The sequence below is a fragment of the Homo sapiens genome, chromosome 6 (assembly GCF_000001405.40).
Source record: "Homo sapiens chromosome 6, GRCh38.p14 Primary Assembly".
Taxonomy (NCBI): Eukaryota; Metazoa; Chordata; class Mammalia; order Primates; family Hominidae; genus Homo; species Homo sapiens.
Genome location: NC_000006.12, coordinates 31,219,819 through 31,237,374, shown reverse-complemented (window position 1 = coordinate 31,237,374; position 17,556 = coordinate 31,219,819). Strand labels below are relative to the sequence as shown.

The window sequence follows — 17,556 nt, the reverse complement described above, 5'->3', positions numbered from 1 at the left end:
GCCACTGCATACCAGCCTGGGCAACAGAGTGAGGCCCTGAGTCTAAAAAATAAATAAATTAATTAAATGTTAACTTCAAATCTTATTGTTAGCAGTTCAACCTTGAACTGATTATTGGAGTTTTTTTTTTTTGTTTTTTTTTTTTTTGAGACAAAGTCTCACTCTACCGCCAGGCTGGAGTGCAATGGCATGATCTCGGCTCACTGCAACCTCGCCTCCTGGGTTCAAGCGATTCTCCTGCCTCAGTCTCCTGAGTAGCTGGGACTACAGGCACCTGTCACCATGCCTGGCTAATTTTTGTATTTTTAGTAGAGACGGGGTTTCACCATGCTGGCCAGGCTGGTCTCGAACTCCCGACCCCAGGTGATATGGGCCTCCCAAAGTGCTGGGATTACAAGCATGAGCCACCATGTCTGGCCTTGAGATCTTATCTGAGAGAAGCTGTTGTGAAAACTTAGAGAATATGAACAAGAAGTAAATGTCAATCTTGTTTCTAAATTACAAACTAAAAGGAAATTCTATAAACCTTTAATACTAAGCTAAATCATGGTAGAATGAATGACCAAAAACTATCCTACAAAACATACCAGCTGCTAGGTGTATCTGAATACTAATAAAAGATGAATGGAAAAAATGCTCTAGGAATGAGGTCAAGAGTTCGAGACCAGCCTGGCCAACATGGTGAAACCCCGTCTCTACTAAAAATTCAAAAATTAGCCGGGCATGGTGGTGGGCACCTGTAATCCCAGCTACTCGGGAGGCTGAGGCAAGAGAACCACTTAAACCTGGGAGGCAGAGGTTGCAGTGAGCCAAGATCGCACCACTGCACTCCAGACACGGCAACAGAGTGAGAACCTGTCTCAAAAACAAAAAACAAGGAAGGAAGGAAGGAGGAAAGAAAGAAAGAAAGAAAGAAAGAAAGAAAGAAAGAAAGAAAGAAAGAAAGAAAGAAAGAAAGAAAGAAAGAAATTATATTTAGAATAAAATTCTTACCTTATAGCAAAATTTCTTATTGAAAAACCACTTTATTTCACATACAAATAAGAATTCAGCATTTTTCTATACCCAGAGATAACAGAGATAAACAGGGGTTTTTTGTGGGGTTCAGATATTTTATTAGCTGCTGAGTGTAAGAAAATCTACCACTGAAGAAGCTGAAATCCCATTTTTCTTTGAAATGGGATCTTTCCAAAGTTAGTAACAATGAAGTTGTCATTCACATAATGGATGACTGAACAAAAAGATAGTGATAGTAGATGCTGCATTTTGTTTCTGTAATGTTGGGAACGGGCCCCCCAAAATATGGCCATAAACTGGCCCCAAAACTGGCCATAAACAAAATCTCTGCAGCACTGTGACATGTTCGTGATGGCCATGATGCCCACGCTGGAATGTTGTGGGTTTACCAGAATGGGGGCAAGGAACACCTGGCCCACCCAGAGTGGAAAACCACTTAAAGGTGTTCTTAAACCACAAACAGTAGCGTGAGCAATCTGTGCCTTAAGGACATGCTCCTGCTGCAGATAACTAGCCAGAGCCCATCCCTTCATTTCAGCCCATCCCTTTGTTTCCTGTAAGGAATACTTTTAGTTAATCTATAATCTATAGAAACAATGCTTATCACTGGCTTGCTGTCAATAAATACATGGGTAAATCTCTGTTCAAGGCTCTTGGCTCTGAAGGCTGTGAAACCCCTGATTTCCCACTCCACACCTCTATATTTCTGTGTGTGTATCTTTAATTCCTCTAGCTCTGCTGGGTTAGGGTCTCCCCCACCAAGCTGGTCTCAGTAAGCAGCACCCATACGTGGGGGCTCGAATCCAGGTTGAAGGGTCGCCAGAGCAACAGTTGGAGAATGGGGAACTAAGCTGGAGGACACCCAAGTACTCTTAAGCAATCCTCGTAGTGAGTAAGATGGGGAGCTTGGAAGCATCCGGTAACAATGGGACAAGTGTGGGCTCTGGTTCGTTCCACCTTGGAACTTTTTCACACTGATGATGAGGAGGAAGGAGAGTATGACGAAGTAACAGAAGAGGTTACAGAGCAGGTTTATTTGCCAGCTAAAGCTAAAGCGGCAAAGGAGGAAGAGGTTCATCCCTACCCTTCTGCACCCCCTCATTATTATTTTGAAGAAAAAGAGTGGCCAGACCCTCCAGATCTTTCTTTTCTGGAGGACACTGGGCGAAAAGTAGTTGCCCCAGTGACTGAGCAGCACCTCGAGCGACTGCTGTCAGTTCTATTCAGGCAGGAGTTCAGCAGGCTAGACGAGAGGGTGATATAGAGGCTTGGCAGTTCCCTGTTAGAATACACCACCTGATCAACAGGGAAATATTATAGCTACATTTGAGCCTTTTCCTTTTAAATTACTCAAATAATTTAAACAAGCTATTAATCAGTATGGACCAGGTTCTCCTTTTGTAATGGGACTGTTAAAGAATGTTGCTGTTTCCAGTCGGATGATTCCTGCTGACGGGGACACTCTTATTCGAGCTTGTCTAAGTCCTGCTCAATTCTTACAATTTAAAACTTGGTGGGCAGATGAAGCTTCCATTCAGGCTGCTTGCAATGCCCAGGCCGAAACTCAAATTAATATAACATGGACCAACTTTTGGGGGTCGGCTGCTGGGCTGGTTTAGACGCACAAGTGGTCATACAGGATGATGCCGTAGAGCAGCTTAGAGGAGTGTGCATTAGAGCTTGGGAAAAAATCACTTCAGGTGGAGAACAATACCCTTCCTTTAGTGCTGTAAAACAGGGACCAAAAGAACTGTATGCAGATTTTATAGCTTGGAATCTCTTAAGACAGGAGTCTCTTAAAAAGGTGATTTCAGATTCAGCTGCTCAGAGTATAGTGTTGCAGTTATTAGCTTTTGGCAATGTTAATCTCGATTGCCAGGCTGCTTTGTGACCTATTAGAGGGAAAGCACATTTAGTTGATTATATCAAGGCCTGTGACGGTATCGGAGGTAATCTGCATAAAGCTACTTTGTTGGCACAGGCAATGGCAGGACTGAGAGTGGATAAAGGAAATACTCCATTTCCTGGAGCTTGTTTTAACTGTTTGAAGCATGATCACACTAAAAAACAATGTAGAAAAAATCAGCAAGTCAGGCCACCATATAGGGGAAAAAAAGAAAACTACTGAGCCTGAAATATGTCCAAAATGCAAAAAAGGAAAACATTGGGCTAATCAGTGTCACTCTAAGTTTGATAAAGATGGGAACCTGATTTCAGGAAACACCATGAGGGGCCCATCCCGGGGCCCCATTCCAAACCGGGGCATTTCTGGCTCAGGCCATTCCCTCATCCTTGTACAATATCTGTCCCCCGCCACAGCCAGTAGCACCACAGTAGATTTATGTTGCACAAAAGCTGTGAGGCTTCTGCCTGGGGAAACCCTGCAAAAGGTCCCAACAGGGGTCTGTGGACCCTTGCCAGCGGGAACGATAGGATTATTTCTAGGAAGGCCTAGTTTAAGTTTAAAAGGAGTACAAATACATACAGGGGTCATTGATTCAGATTACAATGGGGAAATTCAAATTGTTATATCTACTTCTGTTCCCTGGAAAGCAGAGCCAGGAGAGTGTATAGCACAGCTCCTGATTGTGCCGTATGTGGGAATGGGAAAAGTGAAATTAAACAAACAGGAGGATTTGGAAGCACAAATAAACAAGGCAAAGCAGCTTATTGGGTGAATCAAATTACTGATAAACGTCCTACCTGTGAAATAACTATTCAGGGAAAGAAATGTAAAGATTTGGTAGATACAGGAGCGGACATTTCAATCATTTCTCTACAGCACTGGCCGTCTGCGTGGCCAGTTCAACACACTCAACTTAAAACAGTTGGAGTTGGTAAAGCCCCTGAAGTATATCAAAGCCATTATATTTTGCATTGTGAAGGGCCCGATGGACAACCTGGGACTATTCAACCAATTATAACTTCCGTATCTATAAATTTATGGGGGAGAGATTTATTACAACAATGGGGAGCACAAGTTCTACTTCCAGAGCAATTATATAGCCCTCAAAGTCAACATATGATGCATGAAATGGGGCATGTCCCTGGTATGGGACTAGGAAAAAATTTGCAAGGTTTGAAAAAAAATGCTTCAAGTGGAGAGACAAAGTTCCCGCCAAGGTTTAGGGTATCATTTTTGATGGCAGTCATTGTTAAGCCTCCAGAACCTATACCTTTAAAATGGTTAACAGATAAGCCAATTTGGATAGAACAGTGGCTGCTAAGTAAAGAGAAACTGGAGACTTTAGAGAACTTCGTTAATGTACAATTAGAAAATGAGAACATAGCTACAACACTTTCCCCTTGGAATTCTCCAGCTTTTGTAATTAAGAAAAAATCAGGTAAATGGAGAATGTTAACTGATTTAGGAGCCATTAATTCAGTTATACAAGCTATAGGAGCATTACAGCCAGGAAGGACTCTTTCTTTACTATACCCTTAGCTAAGCAAGACAGTGAACGGTTTGCATTTACAATTCCTGTGGTAAACAATCTGCAGCCTGCTAAGCATTTTCATTATTTCACAGATGGGTCTAGCAATGGTAAAGCTTCTTATTCTGGATCAAAAGGTAAAGCTTTCCAGGCAACCTATACTTCAGCTCAGAAAGCAGAGCTTGTAGCTGTAATTGAGGTGCTGACTGCTTTTGATATGCCTGTTAATGTGATTTCTGATTCTTTATACATGGTTCATTCCATGCAATTAATTGAAAATGCTCAGTTATGATTTATACAGATGAACAACTGATGACAAAAAAGGGGGAGAAACAGGGATTACGAGACAGCCCATACACAACTGAATCTAGCATTATTAACTTTAAATTTTTTGAGGCTGCCCAAAGGCCAGATGTTATCAGCAGCTGAACAGCATCTACAGAAACCAGCTGCAAAGACAGGAGCAGAACAACTGGTTTGGTGAAGAGATCCAATAACAAAAAGTTGGGACATAGGTAAAATAATAACTTGGGTAGAGGTTATGCTTGTGTTTCTCCAGGCCAAAACCAGCAGCCAATTTGGATACTATCAAGACACCTAAAACCTTATCATGAGCCAGATGCCAAGGAAGAGATTCCAGGAGGATCCCGAGGACCCCCTGGTTGCAGCCATGTCGAGACTGATGCTGAGGAGGACCCTAACTGTCACGAGCAACACCCGTTGAACACAGCCACCCACCTGGGGACAGATCAAGAAGCTGTCACAGATGGTGGAAGAAAACCTGAGGAAAGCGGGACAACCGGTCACAATGACTGTTTACTGGAATGAAGGCTGTGAGACTCCTCATTTCCCACCCCACACGCCATATTTCTGTGTGTGTGTCTTTAATTCCTCTAGCGCCACTGGGTTAGGGTCTCCCCGACTGAGCTGGTCTCGGCACTGTAATTCTGCCTTGTCCACATGGCACTATTTACACTTTAATTAATTAAAATTAAATGGATTTTAAAAGCCAGTTTCTTATTTGCACCAGCCATATATTTCAAGTACTCAGAATTCACAGAATATGAATGTCTGTATCTGTGCCATAATGAATAGCTCAGATATAGACACTCCATCACTGCAGAAGGGGGTTGGACAGTGGTATTCCAATGTTTCATGGACAGGATCCTGAGTATAATTACGGAATAATGACAATTCCAAGTTCCCATTTCAATTCATGGTCTCTTCTCTGATTCGTGGTATAGGGGGCAGCCCATCTCTTTTGTGAATAAAGGTTAATTTTTCCAATTACACGTAAGTAGCTAATATTATTTTTTTTTTAGCAGTCTTACAGTGTAAGTTACAACCAAAAGTGAAGTGCCTGAATTATATTTACATTTTAACAAATGGTTTTAAAGGGAAAATCCATGTGAAAAAGAAACAAAAGTCAGGAAAAAAAACACACGGAAGTTTCCATACCAATCCTGATAGCAATAACAATCCCTTTGCTGTCGTGAGAGTTCACCCTCATCCTGATTTCATAGTAATCCTGTTCACGCCTTTCTTTAAAGCTTTACTCCCATGCATACATCTCTAAAACAATATAGGTTATCTCAAACTTCATATAGATTTTGAATCTTTTGATACAAATGGAATCGTGCTATGTGTATTCTTATGAGACCTTATTTTAGCTCAAATGTATGTTTGCTAAGTTGTTATAGGTGTCTCTAGAGCATTCATGTTTATTATTCATAGAATTCCACACATTAAATTAATCCTTCTTTGTTTGTGGTCATTTTATTTGTTTTCAGGTTTTAAAAATTACAAACAATGCTGTTGTAAGCCTTCTTGCACATGTATGTTGGCACAATGAGCATATATCTTTCAAAATTATATGCCTAAGAGTGGAATTACTGGTGTATGTATATGATATCCTACCCAAAGAGATGATGCCACACTGCTAGACAAAGTGTGTGACAGCTCTTGATGGTCCATATTCGCACCAACATTTGGAATAGTCAGTGATTTTAATTTAGAAATTCTAGTGGATTTGTCATGACATATCATTATATTTCTTTCCTTAAACTTTATTAAGATATAATTCACATATCATTCACCCATTTAAAGTATACAATTCAATGGTTTTTCACATATTTGGATTTTTAAATCACCATATCTAATTTTAGAACATTTTCATCATCCCAAACTGTTCTCTACAGTTTGAGAGCTGCCTTCTGCAGACCAGCAAGACACAGATTGTTCTCAGCTCCCCTTGTCTCTGGACCCTGACTTCTCTTCCCCCAGCTGCACAGCTGATAAACTGTGTCTCCTCCCAAGCATAGCCCAGGAAGGATACAGGGAGAGGGGCCCATTCCCCTGATGTCCCAGAACCCCTTCCACATAATCCCAATATCCAGGCCCGGTGTCCCCTTCCCTGGATCAACCTTCTTTTTCTGGGAATGAAAGAGTTGCAGTGTTTCCCTCCCAGATCTCCCCTGTGACTCACTCACTCTAAACAGATATCTTGCTCTATGAGTTATTATTCTCATATCCTTTCTTTGAAGCTGTGATAAGATATTACAAACTATTAAGAGAACATGGAGGCTAGGCGTGGTGGCTCACGCCTGTAATCCCAGCACTTTGGGAAGCCAAGACAGGCAGATCACCTGAGGTCAGGAATTCGAGACCAGCCTGGCTAACATGGTGAAAACCCCATCTCTAAAAATACACAAATTAGCTGGGTGTGGTGGCAGCTGCCTGTAATCCCAGCTACTCGGGATGCTGAGGCAAGAGAATTGCTTGAACCAGGAGGTGGAGGTTGCAGTGAGCCGAAATCACGCCATTGCACTCCAGCCTGGCAACAAGAGATAAACTCTGTCTCAAAAAAAAAAAAAAAAAAAAAGAAAGAGAGAGAGAGAACATGCAGGTTAGGTTCTCTTTTTGGATTCTGAGGACCTGCTGTGCTGGGGCAGAGGCAGGTGGGGAGAGAAGGACAGGTGGAGGGGCAGGTGCTGAGTGGTGTGCACCCTTGCTCCGTGCTCAATAAAGTTCCTGCTGTGGTCATTTCTTGTGTATTTGTCTGGATCCCCCCGTGTGCTGGGATTTGTGCCTGGTCTTTAGGGGCGGGTGCTGCTCCAGGTCGGAGGCCTCACACATCTCCAGGCTGAGTCTTTCTCCAAGTCCATGGAGGTCATGGGCTGAGAATGAGAGTTCTCCATCCTGCCCTCAGCTCCACTTTGTGTGTGTGTATTTTTACATGTTGATCTCACCCCTCTCGTCAGAGATTTACAGGAATAGTACTCTGTAGGAGAGCCGTTATCATCCTGCTCCGGCCAGGCTCTGTCTCTCACTTTTGGGTCGTGTGTTCTGTTTCTTGTCCTCTAAAGACTCAGGGCAGCCTCTGCACTTGGGGCTTCTCAGATGCCCCAGATTGATTGTTTTCACCTTTGCCTTCCTTCCTGCTCTGTTTCCAGAATACTCTTATTTTTCCCTTTTATTGTAGTAAGTCAATTTTTTGAATTAACATCATGAATAGATGTGTTAGTGCAATGTCTTAAATACATTCTTGTCACTTCTCCTTTTGTGGGAGCACCCTGTGGTCAGTCAGGGACCTGGCAGGAAAGAGATGGCACCTTTTTTTTTTTTCCGAGACTGAGTTTCACTCTTGTTGCCCAGGCTGGAGTGCAATGGTGTGATCTCGGCTCACCACAACCTCTGCCTCCTGGGTTCAAGCAATTCTCCTGCCTCAGCCTCCCGAGTAGCTGGGATTACAGGCATGCGCCACCACGCCCAGCTAATTTTTTATTTTTAGTAGAGACAGGGTTTCTCCATGTTGGTCAGGCTGGTCTTGAACTCCCAACCTCAGGTGATCCTCTGGCCTCAGCCTCTCAAGGTGCTGAGATTACACGTTTGAGCCACCGCGCTGGCCTGAGATGGCACCTTCTACACAGGTGCCGGCAGGGCTAAGAAAGCCACAAAGGGCGCTGAAGCTCCCTGGGATTATTCCTGGCAGGAAACTGTTTTCATCTTGAAGCTTGAAAGAGCAACGAAGGGAGCAGTTTCCAGAACCCAAGGAAATCTGTAGCTTTCACTAGGGGCAGACCCACATGCCTGTGGCTGTAGGTAGAGGACGGCAATGATTACGGAACCACAGAGCTGTCCAGAGGGAGTGAGGGAAATGAAAACCCTGAGTTACTTCTCCCCGCATGCTCCCATCTCCTGCAGGTGCCTGTTATCATCCACACCCAAGCAGAAGCCAGGTGGTGCAGGAGCATGGGCCGTGCCTGTTGTGGTTGCCTCCCAGTGCAGGGGACAAGGTGGAGGAGGGTGAACGACGGCCCTGTGGAGAGAGAGAAGCAGAGAATAATGCACTCACCTGCTTACAGAGTCCACATTCCTCAGGGAATTCACTTAAATATCCTAGAGTTTGCCCTAATCCAAAGGCATGGCTTCAAAAAAAAAATACATGTAATTTATTCATTCTGAGGCAGAAATTTAAAAATAATAATAATAATAATAAGTATTGCATTTACTTACTTTAAGTTAAAGCTAAGGCTTAGAATGTGGCAAGGCAAAAGTTAAAAAGAAAAAGAAAAGAACAAGTTTTTTTCTGCTTAGCAAGCTTACCTCAAGGACAGTTTTATACATATATTTTTTTTTAGATGGTGTCTCGCTTTGTCACCCAGGCTGGAGTGCCATGACACAATCTCGGCTCACTGCAAGCTCCGCCTCCCAGGTTCACGCCATTCTCCCGCCTCAGCCTCCCGAGTAGCTGGGACTACAGGCACCCACCACCACACCTGGGTAATTTTTTGTATTTTTAGTAGAGACAGGGTTTCACCATGTTAGCCAGGATGGTCTCGATCTCCTGACCTCGTGATCTGCCCACCTCGGTCTCCCAAAGTGCTGGGATTACAGGCGTGAGCTACCGTGCCCAACCCAAGGACAGTTATAAGATAACACTGTCTGAATAGCTAGGGCTAAAAAAATAGGCCTTGGACACTTCTTTTTTCTAGAGCAAAGTTGAAGGAAAAAAAGAGAAAAAAAGATTATTTTACTGTAGAATGCATGAACCAGACACTCAAGCAGCTACTGAAGAAATATTGCCAAGAAACTCATCTGAGACAGAATCAAGTCTTGCCTATAGTCCTCCTCTGAGCCAAGCGCACCCCCACCAAACAAACTAAGTATTTACCCTATAAGATTTTGTTCAATCAGCCACCGTCAAATTAAAAGTGATCTCCAAGAACTAAAAGAACTAACCTTAAGAAATCAAATGCAGGCTTTAGAAACAGCCATGCAAAGTGTTCATAGTTAAGTACATAAAAGAATGCCTAGAAGTCTAACAGACCCAGTACACCCTTTAAACCTAGTAGCTTTGTTTAAGTTAAAAAGTAGAACCCAACTTCTCTAAGACCCATGTAAGATAAGCCCCACAGAGTAATCTTGTCCACTCCCACTGCTGTTAAAGTTGCAAGAATCGTGCCTTAACTCCATCACAGTCGGCTAAAATCGGCAGCTCAGGACAAGTGAACCAGCCAGCAACACCCAGATCATCCAACCCGGCTGATCCTGAGACAAGACCAAGCTGCTGCTGAAGACAACAGCCCTGCTCTGGTCACTCCAGAGGCTGACCAGTCTACGCACAGCTGAAGTTTGAAGAAACAACAAGCCTTGCTCTAGTCACACACCGGAAGCTGACTAGTCTATGCACGGCTGAAGCTTAAAGACTCATCAAGCAAGTAAATGTAGTTAGAAATCTTAAGACTAGTAGTTTTCCTGTAATACTAACTGTTTTCCTATTGTTCTGTCACTGTGCTCAACCTCCTCCCCCAAATAAAGACCTCTTTTGTCCTTGCTAGATTTAAATATGCTGTACATTGTTTTGATGTTGTTACCCCCTTAACCATACTAGAAGAAACACTGACAGAAAAGTGTCCCCACTGTACACATACTACTTAGTCAAAGAACAGTACAACTAGAACTCTGTTGTACCATACTTATAAGTGTACAAAGACTCGCTTAAGAACTTGTACTTATAAGGCCGGGCGCGGTGGCTCACGCCTGTAATCCCAGCACTTTGGGAGGCCGAGGCGGGTGGATCACAAGGTCAGGAGATCGAGACCATCCTGGCTAACACGGTGAAACCCCCGTCTCTACTAAAAATAAAAAAAAAAAAAATTAGCCGGGCGTGGTGGTGGGCTCCTATAGTCCCAGCTACTCGGGAGGCTGAGGCAGGAGAATGGCGTGAACCCGGGAGGCGGAGCTTGCAGTGAGCCAAGATTGCGCCACTGCACTCCAGCCTTGGAGACAGAGCGAGACTCCGTCTCAAAAAAAAAAAAAAGAACTTGTACTTATAATCAGACCACCTGTTCAATTTGTGACCCAAGAAATGGCCAGCCTTATATATGCTATGACCGAAGTCTTTACCTAGGACTTAGTTTAAGATTCATACAAGTAAAAAAAAAAAAAAAGAAGTCTTGTAAGTCAAACCCAAGCCTCTCCTTCCCAGGGTGGGGGCTATATCCATATACTTTGATATTTGTCAGTTAACATCCATGAACCCAACCTATCTCACAATCTCTAGTCCTACAAAGTACTATAAAAACTGCCAGTATAAAATTGTATGTACACTCCCTGTTTGTCCCTCCAAGGCCCTAGCAATAGCTTGCTGGAACTGCACAATGCAGTTCACTGACCGATCATCACTGAGGCCAAAGCCAATCTTGCTCATCAAAGTACCAGCAAAACCAGATTGTAAGACAAGCATTTGCAATCCTGTAAATCTTACTATCTTAAGGCCAAACCTACCTGTATGGACTATAGGCTACTCCATGGCATTACAAAGCTACGGTCAAAAAGCTAAAACAACTTTGTATATTATAAAGAAGACTTGAACCAAGCAGTCAGCCCAGGAGCAATTCTGAGTCTTTAAGTCATTCTTTGAGCATATAAACCGGAAGTTATCAGAGCCTCCTCCTTTAGCCAAAAACCTATTTGTTCAGCTGGCTGAAAACATTGCTGCCAGCCTAGGCGTTTCCTCATGTTATGTTTGTAGAAAGACTAGCATAAAAGACCAATGGCCTTAAGAAGCAAAAAAGTTAATGCCTCAAGATAACTTTACTCCAACTGACTCTTTCCCCAAACCGATGCCCACAAGTTCAAGCGTCTGGCTCTTAAAAACTTCTATATCGAGGCCGGGTGCAATGGATCATGCCTGTAATCCCAGCACTTTGGGAGGCCGAGGCAGGCGGATCGCCAGGTCAGGAGATCGAGACCATTCTAACACAGTGAAACCCTGTCTCTACTAAAAATACAAAAAATTAGCCGGGTGTGGTGGCGGGTGCCTGTAGTCCCAGCTACTCAGGAGGCTGAGGCAGGAGAATGGCGTGAACCCAGGAGGCGGAGCTTGCAGTGAGCCAAGATTGCGCCACTGCACTCCAGCCTTGGAGACAGAGCGAGACTCCGTCTCAAAAAAAAAAAGAAAGAAAGAGATTCCATCTGCATGTATGCATTCAGCCAGGACACAGTGGCCAGGGGTCTTAAACACCACCCAAGAGCCTTCAGACAGTCAAGTTCCTCTTTCTTCTCAGGGTTCAGCCTGAGCACTGGGGTGACCAAACACACTGTGCAAAGGGCAGGAACCTCTTCAATGCCAGCTTATGAATCTGTCCCCTCCAGTGGTGGGAAATCGCACCTCAATCCACAATCCACTATTTCTTCCCGCCCTTACCTCCTCACACCCATCTGGAATTTAGGAGAATGTGGAGAGCAGCCAGCAGCAATAGCAGCAGCTGAGGCCTAAGGAAAACTGAACAGGAAGCCAAGGAAACACATCAGGTGACTAAAATTGTTTGCTGTTCTGCACATGTCCAAGAATGACCCCAAAAGATTTTCAATGACCAGTTCTATGGTTACCAACCTATTGGGCCACGTCATAGACATCAAGTGGATGAGCATTGCCTTTATCAATGACAGGTGAGCCCCACACCCAGAAGGACACCTACTCTCCCATTCCTTATGTTTTCTATCTTTTCACACCTTACATCCTCTTCCCTCCCTCTGGGTGTCTTCCCTCTTTGGGTCTTCTGTTTCTACCCTCTGCCTCCTTTCAGGTGACTAGAGCAGGCTGGTTTGGAACAGGGCTTGGCCATCAGCGTTTGTGTCAGATGAGAATCATGCAAGGATCCAGTGTGATGGGCAGCATCGCTTCGAGGTCAGTGTTAGTGAGCTGCCTGATGAGACAGATGTCTCCTCCACGGTGAGTGCTGATCTCATGAAACACTTAGTTCCTCCCTGAACCTTAGTATGTTTTTCTTCAATCTCATCACATAGGTCATGGGCATCTGATGCATAATGGACACTTGACTGGTTCATGCCCCCTGGCCTTTGATGCTGTGTTGGGATGTTTTCCTGACCTTTATGTGGGGTTTCTGTCTTCTCTCATCATATTACATCCCTTCCCTCACCCCCACGTCCGTCCTCTGAACCCACACAGTACACCAGCGTCTGCATGTGTGCCGTGTGTTCCTGCCTCACTTTCCCCTTTTCATGCCTTATTCTGACTGTGCCATATTTTCTCTTCAGTTGAACAGACACAGTAGAGGACTCACCAATTCTGGGATGTGATAGTCTGTCCTTCAGGAGAAGACCCCAGGTGGGGGTGAAGGAGACACTACTGCCTCCACCCCTAACAGCCCCCACCCCATGGCTTCCCTCCTCTGCATCAGCACCACTCCTGAACCCCCATTCCTGATTGTCAGAATTTTAAAAATCCTAACTAGGCTGGGCGCGGTGGCTCACGCATATAATCCCTGCACTTTGGGAGGTCGAGGCGGGTGGATCACCTGAAGTCGGAAGTTCAAGACCAGCCTGACCAATATGGAGAAACCCAGCGTCTACTACAAATACAAAAATAACCGGGCGTGATGACGAGCGCCTGTAATCCCAGCTACTCGAGAGGCTGAGGCTCAAGAATCGCTTGAACCCAGGAGGCAGAGGTTGCAGTGAGCCAAGATCGCACCTTTGCACTCCAGCCTGGTCAACAAGAGGGAAACTCCATCTCAAAAAAAAAAAAAAATCCTAACGAAAAATGGAACACATGTGTGTCTGTGGTATCTGCATGCTACATCTTCTTACTGTGTTTGGGGAGAGGTTATTGTAGGACATGATCCAGGGTAAATTCCTGTAAGGCTGAGGTGCACTGCTGTGAGGTCAAAGGAGGCATGGGACTGAGACTGCAGAGCCCTGGCTCCCCACTACCTGCCTGTATTAGTCAGGGTTCTCTAGAACTAACAGAATAAATATATATATAAAGGGGGATTTATTAAGTAGTATTAACTCGCATGATCACATGGTCCCACAATAGGTCGCCTGCAAGCTGAGGAGCAAGGAAGCCAGTCCGAGTCCCAAAGCGGAAGAACTTGGAGTTCGATGTTCGAGGGCAGGAAGCATCCAGTATGGGAGAAAGATGTAGGCTGGGAGGCCAGTCTAGCCTTTTCACATTTTTCTCCCTGCTTTATATTCTGGCCACGCTAGCAGCTGATTAGATGGTGCCCACCCAGATTTAGGGTGGGTCTGCCTTTCCCAGTCCACTGACTCAAATGTTAATCTCCTTTGGCAACACCCTCACAGACATGCCCAGGATCAGTATTTTGCGTCCTTCAATCCAACCAAGTTGACACTCAGTATTAACCATCACACTGCTAACTTCTGGCCTTTTGTGGTCTCTTCCATTTTCCCAGTGGCCTGGGAGCAGCTGGGATATTTCTGATCCTGGGGTTCCTGGGGGTGGTGCACAGTATTTCCAATGCTGAGGGGTGCCACAGGCACTGGTGGGAAGCTTGGGTGTCTCCTCCCAGGCTCTCTTGGTGCCTCCTTCCTTATCTGTTTCTTCAGGTTCTGGATCTTGACCATCAGGGCCTGGGGCCCCCACCCCCTCCAGCAGAGCCTGATCCACTCCAGCTGCTGCTCCAGCAACTCTTTGGCTTGGGCCAGCTCAGCTGTGTGGTGGGGCCAGGGCCCTGGTGAGGGGAGTCAGGGAGGGAGCATCAGCCAGGGCAGGGGGGCTGAGGCTCTGGAAAGCTGTGCTGCAGGGTCTGGCTGTAAGTGGGAAATTCTACCTCCCTTTCTCTGTTTCTAGCCCATTAGTTTAAGTCCACCTGTACTGAGAAGCCCAGGGAGCCCTGTATCTTAGGTACAAGCCTCTGGGGAGCAGATAGAGATCCCTGGCCCAGGAGCTATACTGGAAAGCCCACAGCTGCAGAAAGTCAGGTTGCACCTGTAAAACCCCCAGCTGGTTAAAAAAAGATAAAATTTGACTACCTGAGAGGTTTCATTTATATAACAGGAACACCTTCCCAGCCTCTCTCTGTGGGCTATTAAAGATTTCAGAGATTTCTTATTCTAAACAATTAATGAAAACATCAAGTCTTAAAAGGACACATAGTAGTGTCATGGCTAGTCTTCAAAAATTCCCTTGACTAAATTAAGAGCAAAAAAATCACTTCAAACACTTCTGGTAGTTAAAATTAAACACTTCTCAGCCGGGTGCGGTGGCTCATGCCTGTAATCCCAGCACTTTGGGAGGCCGAGATGGGCAGATCACGAGGTCAAGAGATTGAGACCATCCTGGCCAACATGGTGAAACCCTGTCTCTACTAAAAATACAAAAATTAGTCGGGTGTGGTGGTGGGCACCTGTAGTCCCAGCTACTCAGGAGGCTGAGGCAGGAGAATCGCTTGAACCTGAGAGGCGGAGGCTGCAGTGAGGCGAGATCACACCACTGTGCTCCAGCCTGGGCAACAGAGCAAAACTAAAAAAAAAAACATTAAACACTTCTGCCATGGCTCAGGTTTGCCACCTCATCAGGGAACAACTAAGGGCCACCCACCTTGTGGCCTAATAGTCATAACTTTGGTTAAGGCACTTGGGAGGATACCTTTTGGTAAAGAAGGTGAAAAGCCAGGAATATCAACTGTTCCTCCTGGCTAAAATCTGGTAATAAGAGATGTCAAAGGATTTTTTTAGAGCTCTATAGTCAAAATTTGACTTAATTAAAACTGATATTTTAGACTTCAGTGTGTACATATTGCTTTAAGGTCTCTTTTCTCCCTGGGTAAACATTTCTCAGTCAACTAAATGTCTCTCTTTTTCAACCCCCTGCTAGCCACATGCACTTCCTCTGTTTCCCTATTTCTTTGTTTTTTTTTTTTTTTTTGAGACGGAGTCTCACTCTGTCACCCAGGCTGGAGTGCAATGGCGTGGTCTCAGCTCACTGCAACCTCCACCTCCCAGGTTCAAGCGATTCTCCCACCTCAGCCTCCCAAGTAGCTGGGACTACAGGCGCCTGCCACCACACCCAGCTAATTTTTGTATTTTTAGTAGAGACGGGGTTTCACTATATTGGCGAGGCTGATCTCGAACTCCTGACCTAGTGATCCACCCACCTCGGCCCCCCAAAGTACTGGGATTACAGGCATGAGCCACTGCGCCCGGCCTCCCCTATTTATTTCTATCAGCCCCTCCTTCCTCTTGCCAACCTTGGTGCCACATAAGAAAAAAATTAAATTAAATAAAATTCTAATAGCCTGGGATCCCTTAAGAAAAATGCAAAAGGCACCACAGACGCATTTTTGTGAGAAACTGCTGTTTTTTCCTCAGGGAATCCCAAGAGGGAATCCAAGAGAGGACAAAATCCTCTCAGGTCAAAAACTCTGTTCCTTTGCCTTGCATGACCTGATTTTGGCTTTGAATGGGATCAGAAATCACTTTATATTGTGAGAAAACTTGACTTTGGCGTATACAATGGCTGGGAAATGGGCTGATCACAGAGTGGGCTGATTGGCACTGGGTTGCCCACCAGCCTTGAGAGAAAGTTTTTGTAGCAAAACACACTAAAAATATTGTATGGCCAGGTCCCCATGGCATTACTCTCTTTCTGGGCACTGAAAATTCAGTGTGGGCTCTACCCTGAGTTCAATGGTCCAGTTAAAAGATACAGGCCAAATTAAAAGCACCTATCTAAATGCAGTTGATCTCCTTATAAGATCCTATGATAGACCGGGCACGGTGGCTCACGCCTGTAATCCCAGCACTTTCAGAGGCCAAGGAGGGCGGATCACAAGGTCAGGAGATTGAGACCGTCCTGGGTAACATGGTGAAACTCCATCTCTGCTAAAAATAAAAAAAAGTAGCCGGGCGTAGTGGCACACACCTGTAGTCCCAGCTACTTGGGAGACTGAGGCAGGAGAATCGCTTGAACCTGGGAGGCGGAGGTTGCAGTGAGCCGAGATTGCGTTCTGCAGGAGGTACTAATTAAAATTGTGTACCTCCTAGTTTTTTCACTAAAAATAAGAGTTACTAAGAGTTAACATTACAATTCATAGATGTAATTTAAATTACTAGATATAAGATAAATAATTCTACAAGCAACATGCAAAGAAAAGTAGAATGTGGTTTTTGGTAGAAACATAAGAAGGCATGGAAATAGGGCTTTTGTTAAAGGAAAAGTAATTCTGCCTAGTTAGAGGGGTTTATTTTATTTTATTTTATTTTATTTTATTTTATTTATTTTGAGATGGAGTCTCGCTCTGTTGCCCAGGCTGGAGTGCAGTGGCATGATCTCAGCTCACCATCAACCTCCACCTGCTGGGTTCAAGTGATTCTCCTGCCTCAGCCTCCCAAGTAGCTGGGACTACAGATGTGCACCACCACGCTCAGCTAATTTTTTGTATTTTTAGTAGAGATGGGGTTTCACCATGTTGGCCAAGCTGGTCTGAAACTCCTGACCTTCTGATCCACCCGCCTTGGCCTCCCAAAGTGCTGGGATTACAGGTGAGCCACCACGCCTGGCCAAAATAATCTTTTATAACTTTTTTTGTTGGAAACATTGCTGATTCTTTTTGCTTTGTTTTTCAGAGTCAAGAAAACTTTTCTTTTGAACATTTACAGCTTTTCACAATGAAGCGTACTCTTGTAAGCAAAATTTGAGGCATATTTCTTTCTCTCTACCTGATTTCTCCAGAATTCAGAAACTATTTCTGAGATTTTGTTTGTTTGTTTGTTTTTTGAGAAGGAGTCTTGCTCTATCTCCCAGGCTGGAGTGCAGTGGGGCGATCTCAGCTCA

At 44.6% G+C, this 17,556-nt stretch overlaps 6 annotated features.

Annotated features, from left to right (window-relative positions):
* Nucleotides 1,499-2,000: an enhancer, noted in NCBI's record as "OCT4 hESC enhancer chr6:31203152-31203653 (GRCh37/hg19 assembly coordinates)". NCBI's record gives its function as "activates a minimal SCP1, AML or CMV promoter by ChIP-STARR-seq in primed H9 embryonic stem cells {active_cell/tissue: H9 hESC(primed)}" and the evidence as "EXISTENCE:reporter gene assay evidence [ECO:0000049][PMID:30033119]".
* Nucleotides 7,329-7,838: an enhancer, noted in NCBI's record as "OCT4 hESC enhancer chr6:31197314-31197823 (GRCh37/hg19 assembly coordinates)". NCBI's record gives its function as "activates a minimal SCP1, AML or CMV promoter by ChIP-STARR-seq in primed H9 embryonic stem cells {active_cell/tissue: H9 hESC(primed)}" and the evidence as "EXISTENCE:reporter gene assay evidence [ECO:0000049][PMID:30033119]".
* Nucleotides 8,411-8,912: an enhancer, noted in NCBI's record as "OCT4 hESC enhancer chr6:31196240-31196741 (GRCh37/hg19 assembly coordinates)". NCBI's record gives its function as "activates a minimal SCP1, AML or CMV promoter by ChIP-STARR-seq in primed H9 embryonic stem cells {active_cell/tissue: H9 hESC(primed)}" and the evidence as "EXISTENCE:reporter gene assay evidence [ECO:0000049][PMID:30033119]".
* Nucleotides 11,766-12,361: an enhancer, noted in NCBI's record as "OCT4 hESC enhancer chr6:31192791-31193386 (GRCh37/hg19 assembly coordinates)". NCBI's record gives its function as "activates a minimal SCP1, AML or CMV promoter by ChIP-STARR-seq in primed H9 embryonic stem cells {active_cell/tissue: H9 hESC(primed)}" and the evidence as "EXISTENCE:reporter gene assay evidence [ECO:0000049][PMID:30033119]".
* Nucleotides 12,455-13,077: an enhancer, noted in NCBI's record as "OCT4 hESC enhancer chr6:31192075-31192697 (GRCh37/hg19 assembly coordinates)". NCBI's record gives its function as "activates a minimal SCP1, AML or CMV promoter by ChIP-STARR-seq in primed H9 embryonic stem cells {active_cell/tissue: H9 hESC(primed)}" and the evidence as "EXISTENCE:reporter gene assay evidence [ECO:0000049][PMID:30033119]".
* Nucleotides 13,874-14,375: an enhancer, noted in NCBI's record as "OCT4 hESC enhancer chr6:31190777-31191278 (GRCh37/hg19 assembly coordinates)". NCBI's record gives its function as "activates a minimal SCP1, AML or CMV promoter by ChIP-STARR-seq in naive H9 embryonic stem cells {active_cell/tissue: H9 hESC(naive)}" and the evidence as "EXISTENCE:reporter gene assay evidence [ECO:0000049][PMID:30033119]".